Source organism: Homo sapiens, chromosome 7 (genome assembly GCF_000001405.40).
Source record: "Homo sapiens chromosome 7, GRCh38.p14 Primary Assembly".
In the NCBI taxonomy this organism is placed as follows: Eukaryota; Metazoa; Chordata; class Mammalia; order Primates; family Hominidae; genus Homo; species Homo sapiens.
The window spans coordinates 75,258,614-75,280,236 of NC_000007.14; the positions used below are offsets into that span (position 1 = coordinate 75,258,614).

The 21,623-nt window shown below is 48.1% G+C and overlaps 1 protein-coding gene across 2 annotated transcripts in view; it reads left to right on the plus strand.

The window, feature by feature from the left end:
• The window catches only part of SPDYE14 (speedy/RINGO cell cycle regulator family member E14), an 80,225-nt gene that overhangs the window by 21,409 nt on the left and 37,193 nt on the right, over positions 1-21,623 (plus strand). Inside the window, exon 2 of one of the 2 annotated variants that reach the window (NM_001382495.2) lies at positions 19,340-19,459. The exons of the other annotated variant lie outside the window; for it this stretch is intronic. The gene's annotated coding sequence lies outside the window, so the exon portion shown is untranslated. The remainder of the gene's footprint in view (positions 1-19,339; positions 19,460-21,623) is intronic. 2 annotated transcript variants of the gene reach the window in all.

The following is a 21,623-nucleotide window of genomic DNA, read 5'->3' on the forward strand; positions in this document are numbered from 1 at the left end:
CTAAGAACCAAAAGGTTGACCTGGTGGAAGATAGAGGTTGCAGGCCCTCCACACCCCTGCTACTCATACCTCCATGCTTCGACTTTTCCATCTATAAATTGGGGTTGTTATAAGGATTCTGGGTGATGTGTGTTGGTTCTGAGTACAGTTCTGGCCAATGGGAAGTGCCCAACAGAGGAAAATTGTTGTTGTTATTATTTTGCCTGTTCCTAAGCCTAACCCAACAGAAGCTCTTTAATATTCTGGAAACTGGGATGGCACAGTGGCTCATACCTATAACCCCAGCATTTTGGGAGGCCAAGGTGGGAGGCTCACTTCAGCCCAGGAGTTTGAGACCAGCCTGGGCAACCTAGCAAGACCTTCTCCCTATGAAAAAATAAAAAAGTAGCCAGGCACAGTGGTGAGCACCTGTCGTCCCCCAGTGGCTTGGGAGGCTGAAGTGGGAGGATCACCTGAGCCTGGAAGTTTGAGGCTGCTGTGAGCTATGATGGCACCACTGCACTCCAGCCTGGGTGACAGAGCAAGAAATTATTATTATTATTATTTTTAAGTGGCCAGGCATGGTGGCTCATGCTTGTAATCTCAGCACTTTGGAAGGCTGAGATGGGAGGATTGCTTGAGCCCAGCAGTTCAAGAACAGCCTGGGCAACATAGTGAGACCCCTTCTCTAAAAATAAAATTAAATGTTTAAAAATCTGGAAACTAATTCTGGAGAGGACTGGAGTCTGAGATTCTGAAGGTTTATTTTGGATACATTGTACCTCAATTTTATGATCACGAAAATGCAAGTCTCTGCATGTCTGACCCCCAGGAAGGTGTTGAGATGTTGGTCATTTGAGTCAGTGGACAGGAAAACCAGGGGTGAATCCTGTAGAATTTACACAGGGCCAAGTTTGGATGGTAAGCCCAGGGAGGGCAGGGCTGAGACGAAGCATGGCCTTCCCCAACATGATGTTCATTTAAGGTTTGTGGAGTGACTCACGATGCATAGGTGGTGACTGACCACTGGTGAGTATACTGGAGCTAGAGAATGACCCCATGTCCTAAGCAGCCCCAAAATTTCTTGGCAGGTCACAGCAGAGGGAGCTGTGCCCAGGGAATCTTTTTGGACATTGCAAAGATGATTTTTCTCTCTTGGGAACGAGTCTGATCTCTTTAACTCCTTTGTGAAGATGCCAAAAACATCTGCAGTGGACACTGCTGGAATTGCTCATGAGATGTAAGCCACGTTTCAGAGAAAAGAGCAATCTATCAGAGGATATTCCTTCCAGCAACTGAGAACCTTTCAGAGCTTGATTGCTGTGAATGCTCCAGCCTTTCCAGTGTTTTACGCCACTCTCAAATGAGATAACGAAGCACTTTAATTTACTGTTCAACTCCCAAACAGAGTGAGTGGGTAAGGCGTCATCCGCACCCCAGGCCTAAGGAGATAGAAGGCTGGAACCAGGCTCAGGAGGCCACACTGAACCCAGCATGTTGTCAATGGTCCTCAGATCTATTTTTTTTTTTTTTTTTTTGAGACAGGGTCTTGCCCTGTCACCCAGGCTAGAGTGCAGTGATGTGATCATAGTTCACTGCAGCCTCAAAATCCTGGATTCAAGGGACCCTGCTGCCTCAGCCTCCCGAGTAGCTGGGACTACAGGCACATACCACCATGCCTGGCTAGTTTTTTTCATTTTCTTTAGAGATGGAGTCTTGCTATGTTGCCCAGGCTAATCTTGAATTCCTGATCTTAAGCAATCCACCCACCCTGGCCTCTCAAAGTGCTGGGATTGCAGGTGTGAGCCACTGTGCCCAGCCTCTTCCTAGCTCTTGGGTCCCTCTTGCAAACTGACCCATGGGAACAACTTTGCTGGGCCTCTGAATTTGACTAAATGTCCTTAAATTCTGTGGACAGGATCAGAGTTTAGATTAAAGTGAGGACATCTCCTTCCCTTCCTTTTTTATCCTCCACTACAATCACAATCTCTGTCATTTTATGAGAGGGAAACTGAGGCTCAGAGGAGTTGAGTCACTCCCTTCGGAGTGCAGAGTTAGGTCACAAAAGATTAAAATTAGATCCAGGTCTGCCTGGCCTTCCACTACTCTAGAGGCTGCTCCAGAGGGGTTCCCTTTTGTCTCACGAAGGCCTGGAGCCACTTGGTCACCCTCTCTAGAACTTCCCTCCAAGAATATGAAAAGGCATTCTTCCTCATTCATGGCAGATGCAGATGAAAACACAAAGCGTAAGGCTAGGTGTGGTGGCTCGTGACTGTAATCCCAGCACTTTGGGAAGCTGAGGTGGGGGGATCACTTGAGGTCAGGAGTTTGAGACCAGCCTGACCAACATGATGAAACCTCGTCTCTACTAAAAATACAAAAATTAGCTAGATGTGGTGGTGCACACCTGTAGTCCCAGCTACTGGGGAGGCTGAGGCAGGAGAATCACTTGAACCTGGGAGGTGGAGGTTGCAGTGAGCCGAGATCGCACCATTGCACTCCAGCCTGGGTGACGAGTGAGATTCTGTCTCAAAAAGGAAAAAGAAAAATAAAAAGAAAGCACAAAGTACAGCCCTACTGTGGCAGAGTGCAGAGGCACATGGTTCACACCACCTTCCATGAAGGGTTTGTGGCCCCTCTGTGAATGCTGTCCACAGGAACTGTCTCAACTACAGGGAACTCCTTCTCCCAATATCCCATGGCTGTGGAAGGGTGGAGGTCCAACCACCTTGGCCAAGCCTGGACAAGTGTGAATGGCTGTTTCAGCTCCTGTTCTCCTGGGCTCAGTGGAAGCTTACCTTCTCACCATTTCTCCATTGCTTGCTCCTGCTTCCTTCTGGCCTCTTGCTCTCAAGAACACCTTTTTTTTTTTTTTTTTTTTTTTTAAAGAGACAGTGTCTTGCTCTGTCACCCAGGTTGGAGGTGCGGTGGTGCAATCATGGCTCACTGCAGCCTCTTAACTCCTGGGTTCAAGTGATCCTCCTGCCTCATCCTCCTGAGTAGCTAGGACTACAGGTATGCACCATCATGCCCAGCTTTTTTATTTTTTGTGGAGGTGGGGGTCTTGCTATGTTGCCCAGGCTGGTCTTGAATTCCAATTCCTGGGCTCAAGCAATCCTCAGCTTCCCAAAGTGCTGGGATTACAGCCATAAACCACTGTGCCTGGCCTTCAAGGGCACTGCTTAATAAATATCCTGCTTGCTCAATCCATCTCAGAGCGTTTCATGGGGAACGTCATCTGTGAGGTTGCACATACAACCTGTGCATATGTATCAAAACATCCCTAGGTACCCCATAAATATGTGCAATTCTTATTTGCAATTGAAACAAAACAGGCTGGGTGCAGTGGCTTATGCCTGTAATCCCAGCACTTTGGAAGGCTGAGGCAGGCAGATCACTTGAGGTCAGGAGTTTGAGACCAGACTGGCCAATGTAGTGAAACCTTGTCTCTACTAAAAATACAAAAATTATCCAGGTGTGGTGGCACATGCCTGTAATCCCAGCTACTCAGGAGGCTGAGGCAGAACTGCCTGAACTCAGGAGATGGAGGTTGCAATGAGCCAAGATTGTGCCACTGCATTCCACCCTGAGCAGCAGAGTGAGACTCCATCTCAAAAACTAAACTAAACTAACTAAATAAATAAAACAAACAAAATCTTGAAAAAATTAAAGAATTTTATCTATCTAAATTCCCCTTTCCTTCTCCCTAACACAAAAAGCTCTATCCTGTTAACCATGTTTTGAAACTCCATAAACCAACACATACATGGTTAGTTGATTTTTTTTTTTTTTTTTAATAATAGAGATAGGGTTTCAACATGTTGCCCAGGCTGGTCTTGAACTCTTGGGCTCAAGCAATCTGCCCACCTCAGGGTCAGCTGGTTTTTACAAAATGGCAAAGACAATCAAATGGATAAATGGTAGTCATGTCAACAAATGGTGTTGCAGCTGGGCATGGCTGCTCACGCCTGTAATCCCAACACTTTGGGAGGCTGAGGCAGGAGGATGGCTTGAGGCCAGGAGTTCATGACCAGCCTGGACAACATAGCAAGACCCTGTCACTAAAAAAAAAGAAGCAGCAGCTGTGTGTGGTGCTATGTGCCTGTAGTCCCAGCTACTTGGGAGCCTGAGGTGGGAGGATTGCTTGAGTTTGAGGCTGCAGTGACCTGTGATTGTACCACTGCACTCTATTCAGCCTGGTTGACGGAGGAAGACTCTGTCTCAACAACAAACAAACAAACAACAAATGATATTGGAATAACTAGTCGTGCATATGTTTTTTTAAAAAAGAGAGAACCTTGACCACCTCTACCTTACAACTTAACAAAAGTTATTTCAAAATGGATCATAGACCTAAATCCAACCTCAAAATTAAAATACTTCCCGAAGGAAACATAGCAGAAAATCTTTGTGAGCTTAGATTAGGAAAAAAGTTTCTTAGATATAGCTTCTATATCCATGAAGCATAAACAAAAACATATGCTAAACTAGATTTCATAAAAATTAAAAACATCTGATTTTCAAAAGACACTCTTATGAAAATGGAAAAACAAACCACAAACCGGGAAAAAATGTTTGCAAGGCACATAAATGATAAAGGACTTTTATTGAGAATGTAAAGAATCCTCAAAAGTCAGTAGTAAGAAAATAACTAAATTTAAAATGACCAAAAAGTCCAACACAGTGGCTTATGGCTGTAATCCCAGCACTTTGGGAGGCCAAAGCAGGAGGATCGCGTGAGTCCAGAAGTTCAAGACCAGCCCGGGCAACACAGTAAGACCTTGTCTCTACAAAATATATATAGCTGGGTATGGTGGTGTGTTCCTGTGGTCCCAGCTACTCAGGAGGCTGAAGTAGGAGGATCACTTGAGCCTGTGAGGTTGAGGCTGCAGCAAACTGTGATTGTGCCACTGCACTCTAGCCTCAGCAAAAAATAAATAAATAAAAATAATTTTAAATTAAAAAGAAGAAGAAAAAAATTTAAAGTGAACATACAGCCGGGCATGGTGGCCCACGCCTGTAATCCCAGCACTTTGGGTGGCTTAGGCAGGTGGATCACCTGAGGTCAGGAGTTTGAGACCAGCCTGGCCAACATGGTGAAACCCCATCTCTACTAAAAATACAAAAATTAGCCCGGCATGGTGGCTGGTGTCTGTAATCCCACCTACTTGGGAGGCTGAGGCAGAAGAATCACTTGAACCTGGGAGGCAGAAGCTATAGTGAGCCGAGAAGGTGCCACTGCACTCCAGCCTGGGCGACAGAGTGAGACTTGGTCTCAATAAATAAATAAATAAATAAATGTAACATACACTTACCACATGACCCAGCAATCCCATTTTTAGGTGTTTAACCAGGAGAAATGAAAATTTGTATTCAAACAAAAGTCGGTTCACAAATATTTATGGTCAGTTTATTTATAATTGCCCCAAAGTACAAACAAGTCAAATGCACTTCAACTATAGAATGGATAAATTGGTACATCCATACAGTAGACTACTATTCAGCAGTTAAAAAAAAAGCCGTTGAGATACTCAACAACATGAATGAATCTCAAAGGCATTATGCTAAGTGGAAGAAGACAGACTCAAAATGCTATGTGCTCCATGATTACAGGAGATGTGAGGTGGGGGTAAGACTTGACTACAATAGGGCAGTGTGCAATTTTGGGGAATGATGGAACCCTTTTATATCTTGATTGTGATGATGTCTACCTAAAGGTATGCATTCTGCCAGACTCACAAAACTGTACACAAAGACTAGTCAATTTCACTGTATGCAAATTGTAGCTCAATAAACCAGACTGGAAAAGTTGAACCATAAACATTGTATATAACTGGTATCATATTGTATGTATCCTTCTGCAACCTGCTTTTTTTGCTCACTACTAATGACTTTTGAGGTTTATCCAAGTTGATACTACGTAGACTATAATGATATATGTAGCTTTTCTTTATTTTAACTGCTACAACATATTCCATTATACATTATACTTTGTTTATCCAGTCTCCTGTTGGTGAACATTTACTTTGTTTCTGTTTTTTTCTCTTGTTTTAAACAATGTTGCAATAAACATTCCTGTAAATGTATTCTATAGCACTAGTGCTGGAATCTCTCTGCAAGATATTTACGTAGAATAGTATGTGGAATGGTTGGGATAAGAGGGTGGTGAATATCTCTGTTTTGCTCTCCAAGGGCTTATACCAACTGACACTCTACCAGCATGTGTCAGAATCTCCTTTTTCTACACACCCATCAATAATTGGGATTATCAGACTTTAGCTTTTGCTTAGCTGATAAATGTAAAATGATATATTGTTGCTGCTTTATTTTTACAATTTCTCTGATTGTCATTGTGGTTGAACATCTATTCATGTTTGTGGGTCATTTGGGTTTTCCTTCTGTGAATTGCCTGTTCATATTCTTTGCCTGTTTTTTTTTTTTTTTTAATTGTCTTCCCTTCCATTCCCTTCCCCTTCCCCTTCCTCTCCCCCTTCCCCTCCCCTCCCCTTCCCTTCTCTTCTCTTTTTTCCTTCTTCACAGATTGTTGCCCAGGCTGGTGAGCAGTGGCGTGATCTTGGCTCACTGCAACCTTGGCCTCCAAGGTTCAAGTGATTATCCTGCCTCAGCCTCCCAAGCAGCTGGGATTACAAGCGCACACCACCATGCCTGGCTAATTTTTTTTTTTTTTTCATTTTTAGTAGAGGCAGGGTTTCATGATGTTGGTCAGGATAATCTCAAACTCCTGACCTCTGCTGATCTGCCCACATCGGCCTCCCAAAGTGCTGGGATTATAGGCATGAGCCACCACACCTGGCCTAGTAACTTTTAAGATTTCCATCCTGAGGTTGGGCGCAGTAGCTCAGGCCTGTAGTCCCAGCACTCCAGGAGGCCGAGGCAGGCTGATCACTTCACTTCGGGAGTTTGAGACCAGCCTGACCAACATGGAGAAACCCTGTCTCTACTAAAAAAATACAAAAAAAAAAAAAAAAAAAAAAAAAAAAAAAGCCAGGCGTGGTGGTGCATGCCTGTAATCCCAACTACTCGGGAGGCTGAGGCAGGAGAACTACTTGAACCCGGGAGGTGGAGGTTGTAGTGAGCTGAGATGGCGCCATTGCACTCCAGCCTGGGCAACAAGAGTGAAACTCCATCTCCAAAAAAAAAAAAAAAAAAAAAAAAACCACCAACAACAATAAAGATTTCCATCCTGGGCAACATAGCAAGATCCCATCTCTAAAAACATACAAATATTAGCTAGGCATGGTGGTGCCTGCTTGCAGGCTTGTAGTCCCAGTTACTTGGGAGAATTGCTTGAGCCCAGGAGTTTGAGGCTACAGTGAGCTATGATTGCACCACTGCACTCCAGCCTGGGTGACAGAGTGAGACCCTATCTCAAAAAAAGAAAAAAAAAGAAAAAAAATTCCTCTTTATCCTTGATTTTAAGTGGTTTAATAATGATAGAACCCTATATAGACATATTAATTTATGCTGTTTGTTCTTAGAGTATGTTTTTGATTTGAGGACTTGTATGACTCTTTAGTTCTTTTTTCTTTCTTTTCCTTTTTTTTTTTTTTTTTTTTTTTTTGAGATGGAGTCTTGCTCTGTCATCCAGTCTGGAGTGCAGTGGCACAATATTGGCTCACTGTAACCTCTGCCTCCCGGGTTCAAGTGATTCTCCTGCCTTAGCCTCCTGAGTAGGTGGGACTACAGGTGCACGCCACCACGCCAGGCTAATTTTTGTATTTTTAGTAGAGACGAGGTTTCACCATATTGGCCAGGCTGGTCTGGAACTCCTGACCTCAGTTGATCCACTTGCTTCAGCCTCCCAAAGTGCTGGGTTTATAGGCATGAGCCAAAACGCCCAGCCTAGTTTTTGAAAATTCTCATTGATTGTCCATCATATATTGCTTCTCTGTGATTTTCTGCTGTTTTTCTAAAACTTCCATTAGCCCTATGTTGCAGTCCCTCCATCTTTCTCCCATTTCTCATAATTGCTCTTTTGTGAATTTCATCTTTGGCTCCTAGTGCTCTTGTGTTGGTCTGGACCCTTCTAGTAACAGAACGGCCATATGAATGGAGGTCCATGCAGGGTTTCTCTCTCTCTCTTTTTAGAGACAAGGTCTTTTCTTTTTTTTCTTGCTTCATTGTCTATGCTGGAGTGCAGTGGTGCAATCTTGGCTCACTGCAACCTCTGCCTCCCAGGTTCAAGCAATTCTCCCGCCTCAGCCTCCCAAGTAGCTGGGATTACAGGTGCATGCCACCACACCCGGCTAATTTTTGTATTTTTAGTAAAGATGGAGTTTCACAATGTTGGCCAGGCTGGTCTCGAACTTCTGACCTCAGGTGATCTGTCTGCCTTAGCCTCCCAAAGTGCTGGGATTACAGGTGTGAGCCACTGCACCTGGCCTAGAGACAGGGTCTTGCTCTGTTGTCCAGGTTGGAGTGCAGTGGTGCAATCCTAGCTCACTGCAACCCCCAACTCCTGACTTCAAGAGATCATTTCTCCTCAGTCTTCAGAGTAGCTGGGACCACAGGTGTGTGCTACCATGCCTGGCTAAGGTTTCTGTCAAAAGTGACATTGAGATCTGAAGGGTGGTGAAATGTCATTTAGGAACAGGGGAAGTTAGGGCTGGGGGAGTCCTCCAGGCAATAGAAACAGGATTTATGAAGATGAGATGGTGCCTGACACAAAGGGCTTGGATGGGTGCAGATTGGAAGCCACCAGAAGGCTCTAGCCCAAGAGAAGACTGGATACATTGGCAGATTCTTCTGGCTGCCTTGTGGAGTAGAGGACAGGAGGTCAAGGGCAGGGGTGGGGAATCCAGCCTGGAAGTGACTGCAGCCTAGCTGAGAGAGCCGTGGTGGCCAGGACCAGTGAGGCAGCAGCGTGGATGGAGAGAGAGGAGGGATGCAGAGATGTTTAGGACATGAGCTGGCCGGTGATGGATAGCATGGGGTAGGCTGGTGGTGGTGAGGGGGTCCAGGGTCCAGCTGCCACTAGGAGGGTGGGTAGGTTTGGGGACAACCCCTTGTCTTTCTGATCCTTGTTCAGGTGAGATCCCCCTGCACAAATTTCACCTGCTGTTTTTTTTTTCCTGAGCCATTTCAGACTGCCTCCTGGGGATGAGGTCTGCATGATTTTATTTATTTATTTATTTATTTATTTAGACAGAGTCTTGCTCTGTTACCCAGGCTGCAGTGCAGTGGTGTGATCTCGGCTCACTGCAACCTCCGCCTCCTGGGTTCAAGCGATCCTCCTGATTCAGCCTCCTGAGTAGCTGGGATTACAGGCATGCGCCACCACATCTGGTTAATTTTTGTATTTTTAGTAGAGACAGGGTTTCACCATGTTGGCCAGGCTGGTCTTGAACTCCTGGCCTCAAGTGATCCACCTGCCTTGGCCTCCTAAAGTGCTGGGATTATAGGCATGAGCCTCTGTCTACGGAATCTTGTAGCCTACAAAATCTTCTGGCCTCTGTCTGCAGAATCTTGTCTGTACCCCGTGCTAGCCTCTCCTCTGACCCACTGGGAGTGTTAAGTCCATTCTTCTGGACTTTTGCTCCAGCTGTGATGAACACTATGCTTCTACCTCAGTCCTGAGCCTGGACCCAGCTGTGCAAGCCTGGCCAGACCCCTCTCCCAGGGCTGAACACCAATTTCAAGTCTTCAGGTCCTACTGCAATCTAAACAGGCTATCCAGAAGAGAATCCTGCACCAGTCCAAGTGTGAGCAGGCCTGGAGACTCTGCTGCTGAACTGCACCCCCTGATGGCCAGCCTGGATGTCACTTCTATCCTGCTTGAGCCAGGCTCCCCGGATCCCTGGACCACCTCCACTCCAGACCAGACAATGGGGAAGCTGCTGGTCCCACACCATTTCTGAGTTTTCTCCTCTATCCTTCTGCTTAAAGTTCCCTCCAAGGACTTAAGTGCAAGTCATCCCAGAAACCCAGGTAGGGGAGTAGAGAGGCCAGATATGGACAGGAAGGCTGCCAAGAAAGGGGTGTTAGGCACAATGGCTCAGGTCTGTAAGCCCAGAACTTTGGGAGGCTGAGGCCGGAAGATTGCTTGAACCTAGGAGGACTGCTTGAGACCAGCCTGGGCAACACGGCGAAACCCTATCTCTACAAAAAAACAAAAAAACAAAAAAACCCCACAAAAATTAGCTGGACGTGGTGGTGTGCACCTGTAGTCCCAGCAGAGGGACTCTTGAGGCAGAGGTTGTAGTAAGCCCAGATCGCACCATTGCACTCCAGCCAGAGAGAGAGAGAGAGAGAGAGAGAGAGAGAGAGAGAGAGAGAGAGAGAAAGGAAATGGCCAGGCGCAGTGGCTTATGCCTGTAATCCCAGCACTTTGGGAAGCTGAGGTGGGCAGATCACTTGAGGTCAGGAGTTCAAAACCAGCCTGGCCAACATGGGGAAACTCCCTCTCTACTAAAAACATAAAATTAGCCAGGTGTGGTGGCACATGCCTGTAATCCCAGGAGGGTGAGGCAGGAGAATTGCTTGAATCTGGGAGGCGGAGGTTGCAGTGAGCTGAGATCGCACCACTGCACTCCAGCTTGGGCGACAAGAGCAAAACTCCATCTAAAAAAACACCAAAAGAATGAAAAAAGAAATGAGTGGTATCAAGGAAGTTACCAGTTACCAGTGTGGGCAATTGAGCTTAAACCTGGTGGGGACCTCTGGGAGGCAGTACAGAATGTGGAAACCCATGGTTGTCCCACCTGTGTGGGGTCATGTGGCTAAGCTGTTTACACACCCATTTTCATCAGTCACTGGCTAAGAGCAGCCCCTGGGGGAGGGGCCTTCATGCATTTGCTTCTGCTCTGCCCTGGCAGGCTCAGAGGCTCAGGCAAGAGCTACAGATGCTCATGACCGAATGTCTCACCTGGGCCCGGAATGGCAGCAGCAAGCACCCTCTCAGCCTAGCCCAGAAGCCAGAGTTCCTATTTCATCAGTTGCAAAGCAGAGACAATGCCATCTGCCCGATAGCAGAGCAAAAGGCAGGTGGGAGCAGGGTCCTCTGAGAGCTGGGGAGGGGCTGGAGTGGCCCTCAGTGCTGTGCACATGTGCCCTAGATACATGGGAATTGGACCTGGATACCCCCTTCCCCCAAGCTCTGGCCACCGGCTCCTCCTGATGTGATGTTCTTGTTCTAAAAACAGATATGTCACACCTCAAGCAGATTTGCAGTCCCTTGACAGCAGCCTCATCTGGCACATAAAGGACCTCTGCCTCTCTGCATGGCTTCCCAGGGCCCCGGAGAACAGTGAGGCTGCCTTGGCCTCCACCTGCTGCTCCAGAGGGCAGCACAGCCCCGGACTCCATCTCCCCAGCCCCTGTGGGAAGGGGGACGTTCCTGGAGTGGGAGCCCATTTGGTCTTAGAGCTCTGCTAACAGACGGTTGGTACCTCCAAAGGCTGAACTGGGGAACCATTTTATTTTGCTGTCCAGCCTCTTTCTTTTTTTTTTCTTTTTCTTTTTTTTCAGATGGAGTCTCACTCTGTTGCCCGGGCTGGAGTGCAGTGGCGCTATCTCAGCTCACTGCAACCTGTGCCTCCCAGGTTCAAGCGATTCTCCTGCCTCAGCCTCCCGAGTAGCTGGGATTACAGGTGCCTGCCACCACCGCACCCAGCTAATTTTTGTATTTTTAGTAGAGACGGGGTTTCACCATATTAGCCAGGATGGTCTCAATCTCTTGACCTCGTGATCTGCCTGTCTTGGCCTCCCAAAGTGTTGAGGTTACAGGCATGAGCCACTGCACTGGGCTACCACCCAGCCACTTGGTTCCTCTGGGTGACAAGATTCAACATGTCCCTGAGGCTAGGGAATTTCTGTCCAGAGCAGGGTGGCCCCATCAGAGCCTCCTACTTCAGGAATCCTGAGGCCCATGGAGCCTGGATACCCTCTCTACTCTTCTCCCAGAAGGTATTTGCCCCAGGCACTTTGCAGACCAACCAGGAAGCATGGCAGAAGGCCAGGAATGGCTGGGGGCTGGTGGGAAGGATCAGGCCCGGCCCAGGCATTGCTGCTCTAGGGTCTCAAGGGTTCCCTGTCACTTTGGCCATTCTTCTGTTGCTAGTGTTCCTGGGCCCCTGGCAGCTGGGATCATTGAGGCCTCCCCACTGGGGGTGCTGGGGCCAGTCCTAGCCAGGGCAGAGAGTGGGTCAGCCGTCTCAGCTCCTTGAGTGGTTGGTGCTGGTACTGGTCTCATGGTTTTAGACCTGGCACCCAGTGGGTATGGGGAGCCCTGGGCACCTGTGGGCCTACTTATGGAAGTCATCCTCTTCCCTTATCAGGTACCGCCAACCCTGTGGTGCAGCTGCTGCCCCAGTTTCCCCTTGTGCTCCAGGTCCCCACTGTGGCAGTTGCTCTTCTCTGAGATCCAGCCAGTGTAGCTGAGTCCCTGGTGTCTTGCTAACTTCCTGCCAGCCCCTGAACCCAGAACTCTCTCTTTCCCTTGGCCACTGGCTAGGAGCCTCTACCACTGAAAAAACTCAGTTTCCTAGCCAGGTGCAGTGGCTCACGCCTGTAACCTCAGCACTTTGGGAGGCTGAGGCAGGAGGATCGCTTGAGAACAGGAGTTTGAGACCAGCCTGGGCAACATAGTGAGACTCCACCTCTAAAAAAAAAAAAAAAAAAAAAAAGCCAGGCATGGTGGTGCATGCCTGTAGTCCCAGCTACTTTGGGGGATTACTTGAGCCTGGGAGGTTGAGGCTGCAGTGAGCTATGAGGCTTGCCACTGTACTCCAGCCTGGGAGACAGAGTATGACCCTGTCTCAGTAACCAAAACCAAAACCAACCAACCAAACAAAAAAGGAAAAAACCCTCATTTTCCTTCTCTGTTAATATGGGTGATAATGCCCACCCTATAGAGTTGTTGGAAGGCATACTGATAGCATTTTTACACATTTGACACTCCCTGGTAGATAGCAGGTGCTCAGTAAAAAGTGACAATGGGCTGGACACCGTGACTCACGCCTGTAATCCCAGCACTTTGGGAGGCTGAGGCGGGTGGATCACCTGAGGTCAGGAGTTCGAGACCAGCCTGGCCAACATGGTGAAACCCCGTCTCTACTAAAAATACAAAAATTAGCTGGGTGTGGTTGTGGGCACCTGTAGCTACACAGGAAGCTGAGGCAGGAGAACAACTTGAACCCAGGAGGTGGAGGTTGCAGTGGGCCATTGCACTCCAGCCTGGGCAACAACAGTGAAACTCTGTCTCAAAAAAAAGTGACAATGATCATTCCTGGTGTTAATAACAGACTTCCTTTTTTTTTTTTTTTTTTTTTTTTTTTTGAGACAGAATCTCCCTCTGTTGCCCAGGCTGGAGTGCAGAGACACGATCTTGGCTCACTGCAAGCTCCGCCTCCTGGGTTCACGCCATTCTCCTGCCTCAGCCTCCTGAATAGCTGGGACTACAGGTGCCTGCCACCACGTCCAGCTAATTTTTTGTATTTTTAGTAGAGACAGGGTTTCACCATGTTAGCCAGGATGGTCTCGATCTCCTGACCTTGTGATCTGCCCGCCTCGGCCTCCCAGAGTGCTGGGATTATAGGTGTGAACCACCGCACCCAGCCAATAACAGACTTACCTTTTTGCCTCTCACCTGACTCTGAGAGACTTTTGCTGCCATGATCTCTACATCTGAACTCCTCCCGAGAGCAGAGCTGCCCAGAAGGACCATCTGTGGTGATGGAAATGTTCTATGAATGCACCATCCAATATGCTGGCCACTTGAACACATGTGGTCCTGGCCCTTGTAGGCACTGGAATTGTGAGCAGCGTGACTGAGTATCTTAGTCTACTTGGGCTTCCGTTACAGAAAACCATAGGCTGGGTGGCTTAAACAACATACATTTCTCTCTCACAATTCCAAGATTGAGGAACCAGCAGATTGGTGTCTGGTGAGGGCCCACTTCCTGGTTTGTGGATGGCTGTCTTCTCCCTGTATCCTCACATGATGGGGAGTGATATAGTTTGGCTCTGTGTCCCCTGCTTAAATCTCATGCCGAGACCAGGCACAGTGGCTCACACCTGTAATCCCAGCACTTTGAGAGGCCAAGGCGGGCGGATCACCTGAGGCCAGGAGTTCAAGATTAGCCTGGACCACATGGTGAAACCCTGTCTCCACTAAAAATACAAAATTAGCTGGGTGTGGTGGTGGGCGCCTGTAATCCCAGTTACTCGGGAGGCTGAAGCAGGAGAATCATTTGAACCTGGGAGGCAGAAGTTGCAGTGAGCCCAGATGGCACCACTGCACTCCAGCCTGGGCGACAGAGTGAAACTGTGTCTCAAAAAAAAAAAAACAAAAAAAGAAAAAAAAAGAGGTTTCATGTCAAATTGTAATCCCCAGTGTTGGAGGTGGGGCCTGGTAGGAGGTGATTAAATCACGGGGCGGATTTCTCATGAATGGGCTGGCACCATCCCCTCCGTGCTGTTTTCATGGTAGAAGGTTATCATGAGCTCTGCTTGTTTAAAAGTGAGTAGCACCTCCCCACCTCTCTCTCATCCTCTTGCTCTGACCATGTGAGATGTGCGTGCTTCCCCTTCACCTTCTGCCATGATTGTAAGTTTCCTAAGACCTCCCCAGAAGCTGAGCAGATGTCAGAATCATGCGTCCTGTACAGCCCATGGAATGTAAGCCAATTAAAACTCTTTTCTTGGCTGGGTGTGGTGGCTCGCACCTGTAATCCCAGCACTTTGGGAGGCCAAGGTGGGTGGATAACCTGAGGTCATGAGTTCGAGACCAGCCTGGGCAACATGGTGAAACCCCGTCTCCACTAAAAATACAAAAATTTGCTGGGCGTGGTGGCAGACGCCTGTAATCCAGCTACTCAGGAGGCTGAGGCAGGAGAATGGCTTGAACCCAGGAGATGGAGGTGGCAGTGAGCCAAGATCGTGCCATTGCACTCTTGCCTGGGTGATGACAGCGAAACTCCATCTCCAAAAACAAAACAAAACAAAACACCCCTCTTTTCTTTATAAATTACCCAGTCTCAGGTTTTTCTTTATAGCAGTGCCAGAATGGACCAAGACAGGGAGAGAGGAAGCAAGCTCTCTGATGACTCTTCTCGAAAGGCTGCTAATCCCATCAAGTGAATTCCACCCTTATAACCTCATCTCAACGTGATCACCTCCCAAACTTCTTGCCTCCAAATACCAACACATTGGGAGTTAGGAGTTTGACATATGAATTTTGGAGAGTCCACAAACATTCTGCCTGTAACACTAGAAAAGAAATTTTGATTTCATTTTATCTATTTGTTTGAGACAGAGTCTTGCTCTGTTGCCCAGGCTGCAGTGCAGTGGCGTGATCTCGGCTCACTGCAACCTCCACCTCCCAGGTTCAAATGATTCTCCTGACTCAGCCTCCTGAATAGTTGGGACTATGGGCACCCACCACCATGCCTGGCTAATGTTTTTTGTATTTTTAGTAGAGACAAGGTTTCACCATGTTGGCCAGGCTGGTCTCGAACTCCTGACCTCAAGTGATCCTCCCACCTCGGCCTCCCAAAGTGCTGGGATTACAGGGTGAGCCAGCGAACTTGGCCTTCCTTTAATTTTAATCAATTTAAATGTAAAGAGCTGCATGTAGCTAGGAGCTACTGAATTGGACAGCACAGCCTTAAGGAGAGTGGAAATCAGCTGAATCCAGTTGAAACAGGAGTTAAACCAGTTGGAGCCAGCCAACATTGGATGACTTTGGCTGAAACCACCTGAAACTGGTTGAAAGGAGCCACAAACTGTTCACAACCAGCTGAAGCTGAATTAACCTGGCTGAAACTGGATGAAGTCATTTGAAACCAGCTGAAACTGGATCAAACCAGCTGGCAGTGGTTGAAACCAGATGAAATCATTTAAGTAGGGTTTGTCATATTATTTTGCTTCTTGATGAACTAGTCCTGGCTTTTTTTTTTTTTTTTTTTTTTTTGACAGAGAGTCTTGCTGTGTCGCCCAGGCTGGAGTGCAGTGGTGCGATTTCAGCTCACTGCAACCTTCTCCTCCCGGGTTAAAGTGATCTTCCTGCCTCAGCCTCCTGAGCAGCTGGGATTACAGGAGTGCACCACCACTCCCGACTAATTTTTGTATTTTCAGTACAGACAGGGGTTTCACCATGCTGGCCAGGTTGGTCTCGAACTCCTGACCTCAGGTGATCCACCTGTCTTGGCCTCCCAAAGTGCTGGTATTACAGGCATGAGCCCTGGTGCCCAGCAGCATACACATTTAGTTTTATTCTAACAAGGTAGCTTGTACATTTTAAGATATAAAACTGAACATCTTTTTTCCTCTCTGGAGAAACATAAGGAAAACCAAGGAACTTTTTACAACAAACATTTTTAAACATTTACAAAAGTAGACAGAAGACCCCGTCCGGGAGGTGAGGGGCGCCTCTGCCCGGCCGCCCCTACTGGGAAGTGAGGAGCCCCTCTGCCCAGCCAGCCGCCCCGTCCGGGAGGGAGGTGGGGGGGTCAGCCCCCCGCCCGGCCAGCCGCCCCCTCCGGGAGGGAGGTGGGGGGGTCAGCCCCCCTGCCCGGCCAGCCGCCCCGTCCGGGAGGTGAGGGGCGCCTCTGCCCGGCCGCCCCTACTGGGAAGTGAGGAGCCCCTCTGCCTGGCCACCACCCCGTCTGGGAGGTGTGCCCAACAGCTCATTGAGAACGGGCCAGGATGACAATGGCGGCTTTGTGGAATAGAAAGGCGGGAAAGGTGGGGAAAAGATTGAGAAATCGGATGGTTGCCGTGTCTGTGTAGAAAGAAGTAGACATGGGAGACTTTTCATTTTGTTCTGCACTAAGAAAAATTCCTCTGCCTTGGGAATCCTGTTGATCTGTGACCTTACCCCCAACCCTGTGCTCCCTGAAACATGTGCTGTGTCCACTCAGGGTTAAATGGATTAAGGGCGGTGCAAGATGTGCTTTGTTAAACAGATGCTTGAAGGCAGCATGCTCGTTAAGAGTCATCACCACTCCCTAATCTCAAGTACCCAGGGACACAAACACTGCGGAAGGCCGCAGGGTCCTCTGCCTAGGAAAACCAGAGACCTTTGTTCACTTGTTTATCTGCTGACCTTCCCTCCACTATTGTCCCATGACCCTGCCAAATCCCCCTCTGTGAGAAACACCCAAGAATTATCAATAAAAAAATAAATTAAAAAAAAAAAAAAAAAAAAAAAAGTAGACAGAAGAGTACAGTGAACCCCCATGGACCCACTGCCCAGCTTAAATAGCAATCAGGATTTTGCCAATGTGCTCCAAACTGTCCTCCCCTTCCCCTCTTTTTCTTGGCTGGGATGTTTTAAAGCAAATCCTAGATATGTCATAAAAAGAAAATGTAAAAATAAAACAGAACAAAAATTACAATGCAGAATACCATTTCCAAATAAGATCTGGCCAGGCATGGTGGCTCATGCCTGTAATCCCAGCACTTTGGGAGGCTAAGCAGGGGCAGATCACATGAGGTCAGGAGTTCAAGACCAGCCTGGCCAACATGGTGAAACCCTGTCTCTATTAAAAATACAAAAATTAGGCCGGGCGCAGTGGCTCACACCTGTAATCCCAGCACTTTGGGAGGCCGAGGCGGGTGGATCAAGAGGTCAGGAGATTGAGACCATCCTGGCTAACATGGTGAAACCCCGTCTCTACTAAAAATACAAAAAATTAGCCGGGCGTGGTGGCGGGCGCCTGTAGTCCCAGCTACTCGGGAGGCTGAGGCAGGAGAATGGCATGAACCCGGGAGGCGGAGCTTGCAGTGAGCTGAGATCGTGCCACTGCACTCCAGCCTGGGCGACAGAGCAAGACTCAATCTTAAAAAACAACAACAACAAAAAAAAAAACCCAAAAATTAGTCGAGAATGGTGGCATGCCCTGTACTCTCAGCTACTTGGGAGGCTGAGGCACAAGAATCACTTGAACCTGGGAGGTGGAGGTTATAGTGAGACGAGATTGCACCACTGCACTCCAGCCTGGGCAACACAGCGAGACTCTGTCTCAAAAAAAAAAAAAAAAAAACAAATCTGTTAGGCTGAGGCTGGGTGCAGTGGCTCATGCCTGTAATTGCAGCACTTTGGGAGGCTGAAGCGGGAGGAATGCTTGAGCCCAGGAGCTTGAGATCAGCCTGGGCAACGTAGCAAGATCCCCCAACTCTACAAAAATATAGAAGCCAGGCGTGGTGGTACATGCCTGTGGTCCCAGCTACTTGGAAGGCTGAAGCAGGAGGATCATGTGAGCCCAGAAGCTTGAAACCAGCCTGGGCAGTATCAGAGACCCCATCTCTACAAAAAAATTTTAAAATTTAGCCTGGCATGGTGATGTGCACCTATGGTTCCAGCTACTTGGGAGGCTGAGACTGGAGGATCATTTGAGCCCAGGAGTTTAAGGCTGCAGTGAGCTATGATGGCACCACTCAACTCCAGCCTGGCTGAGCAACAGAGGAGACTCTGTCTCTAAGAAATAAATAAATAACAAAAACTAGGTGTAGTGTGTAGTGGGTCATGCCTATAATTCCAGCACTTTGGGAGGCTGAGGTGGGAGGCTAGATTGAGCCTAGGAGTTTAAGACTAGCCTGGGCAACATGGCAAAACTCGTCCCTAAAAAAAATAACAAAATTTAGCCAGGCATGGCAGTGCACACCTATGATCCCAGCTACTTGGGAGGCTGAGGCAGGAGGATCATCTGAGCCCAGGAGTTCGAGGCTGCAGTGAGCTGTGATTGTGCCACCACACTCCAGCCTGGGTGAAAGGGCAAAACCCTGCCTCAAAACAAACAAATATACAACAACAACACAACAACACAAACCCTCAAACAAGATCCTTTACGTTCTTCAGTTTCTCCATCAAGCAGCAGGGCCCCAGGTAGCATTAGAAGTGGATTTTCTTTCTTTTTTCTTTTTTTTTTTTTGAGACAGAGTCTCGCTCTGTCGCCCAGGCTGAAGTGCAGTGGCATGACCTTGGCTCACTGCAAGCTCCGCCTCCTGGGTTCATGCCATTCTTCTGCCTCAGCCTCCCCAGTAGCGGGGACTTCAGGTGCCCACCACTATGCCTGGCTAATTTTTTTTAATTATTATTTTAGTAGAGATGGGGTTTCACCGTGTTAGCCAGGATGGTCTCGATCTGCTGATCTTGATCTCGTGATCTGCCTACCTCAGCCTCCCAGAGTGCTGGGATTACAGGCGTCAGCCACCGCACCTGACCAGGAGTGGATTTTATATCTAAAGCTACAGTTTAAACCACAAGGGCATCTGCTAAATACCACCCAAGGAGAAGCTAAGTTGTCAAAATGCCCACTCAACCCTCCCAAACATCGCAAACCCACCCTTTTCTGATCTCTACTCCAACGTCTTTTGTTTTTGTTCTGTCTTACACCAGGAGAAGAGAGAGATTCGTGTTGACAAGTCCTTGTTGTCCAGACTCACACGGATACAGCTGTGGGGAAGGAAGGAAGGCTGCAATGCTGCTGTTTCCATGAACATGCCTGGCACCCTCCAGGTGTCAGCAGGGCCAGGGGAGTGGAGAACTGGTCTCCCTCTCCGCTCCTCTATAGAACACAGTAGCGTGAGGATTCTGTACAGGTTTTGTTGGGAAAGAAAGGAGTAAAAAGGGACTTGGGACGGAAAATGTTTCCTCCTTTTCAAATAAATTGTGCATCAGGATGTAGAGAGAGTGGAAGAGGGAGTTCAGAGGTACCAGGTGACCAAACGTAAGAGAAAAGAACAGTCCAGGTGTGGTGGCTCACACCTGTAATCCCAGCACTTTAGGAGGCTGAGGCGGGTGGTTCATCTGAGGTCAGGAGTTCAAGACCAGCTTGGTCAACATGGTGAAACCCCATCTCTACAAAAATACAGAAATTAGTCATACGTGGTGGTGGGTGCCTGTAATCCCAGCTACTCGGGAGGCTGAGGTGGGGGAATCGCTTGAACCTGGGAGGCGGAGGTTGCAGTGAGCCCAGTGCACTCCAGCCTGGATGACAGAGCGAGACTCCGTCTCAAAAAAAAAAAAAAAAAAAAAAATCAGATGACCCGCTGTGGAGCTGACTCTGTTCCCAAACCAGGATTTTCATCAAGCTAAAAATCTAGGCTGGGCTGGGTGGCTCCAACCTGTAACCCCAGCACTTTGGGAGGCCGAGGTGGGCAGACTGTTTGAGCTTGGGAGTTCAAGACCATCCTGGACGACAGGGTGAAACATCGTCTCTACCAAAAATACAAAAAATTAGACACCCGTGGTGGCGTGCGCCAATAGTCCCAGATACTTGGGAGGCTGAGATCAGAGAATCGCTCGAACCCGGGAGGCGGAGGTTGCAGTGAGCCGAGATCATGCCACTGTACTCTAGCCTGGGTGACAGAGTGAGACTCTGTTTCCAAAAAAAAAAAAAAAAAATAGGGCTTAAATCGGGAGAGTGACATGATCTGATTTACACTTGCAAAAAGATCAGTGTCATGAATACTCAGTGTTGGCAGAGATTTGAAACAAAGTATTCTCTCATATGTGCTGGTGGGAATGCAAGGTGTACAAACACCAAGGAAACCCCAGCACCAGCAATGGACTCAGCCACACCCCATGACCCAGCAGCTCCGCTCCTGGTGACTGTTCTAGAGAGGTGTGTGTGCAGGAACGTTCATCACAATGTTCACAGTGGTGCTGGAAGGACCCAAGTGTCCACCAGCAGGAGAAATGAACAAATGCACTGCGGCATATTCTTTTTTTTTCTTTTTCTTTCTTTTGAGACAGAGTCTCACTCTGTCACCCAGGCTGGAGTGCGATGGCGCGATCTCGGCTCACTGCAACCTCCGCCTCCTGGATTCAAGCGATTCTCTCACCTCAGCCTCCCGAGTAGCTGAGACTACAGGTGCGTGCCACCACACCCAGCTATTTTTTTTTTTTTTTGAGACGGAGTCTCACTCTTGTAGCCCAGGCTACAGTGCAAATGGTATGATCTTGGCTCACTGCAAGTGCCGCCTCCTGGATTCACGCCATTCTCCTGCCTCAGCCTCCTGAGTAGCTGGGAATACAGGTGCCCGCAACCATGCCTGGCTACTTTTTGTATTTTTAGCAGAGATGGGGTGTTAGCCAGGATGGTCTCGATCTCCTGATCTCGTGATCCACCCTCCTTGGCCTCCCAAAGTGCTGGGATTACAGGCATGAGCCATGGCACCTGGCCCCGTCTAATTTTTTGTATTTTTACTAGAGATGGGGTTTCACCATGTTGGCCAGGCTGCTCTTAAACTCCTGACCTCAAGCGATCCACCTGCTATGGCCTCCCAAAGCGCTGGGATTACAGGCGTGAGCCACTGTGCCTGGCCGGAACCCACAGGTTCTTTGGATGGTCTCTGAATGTCATGAAACTCTTTTATATTTAATTAAAAAATTTTTTTTGACACAAGGTCTTGCTGTGTTGCCCAGACTGGAGTGCGGTGTCACGATCACAGCTCACTGCAGCCCCTAACTCCTAGGCTCAAGCAATCCTCCTGCCACCTCAGTCTCTCAAGTTGTTGGAACACAGGTGCCAGCCACGACACCTGGCTAATTTTGTTTTGTTTTGTTTTGTTTTGTTTTAGAGATGGGCTCTTGCTATGTTGCCTATACTGGTCTTGAACTGCTGGCCTCAGGCAGTCTTCCTCCCTTGGCCACCCAAAGAGATGGGATTACAAGCATG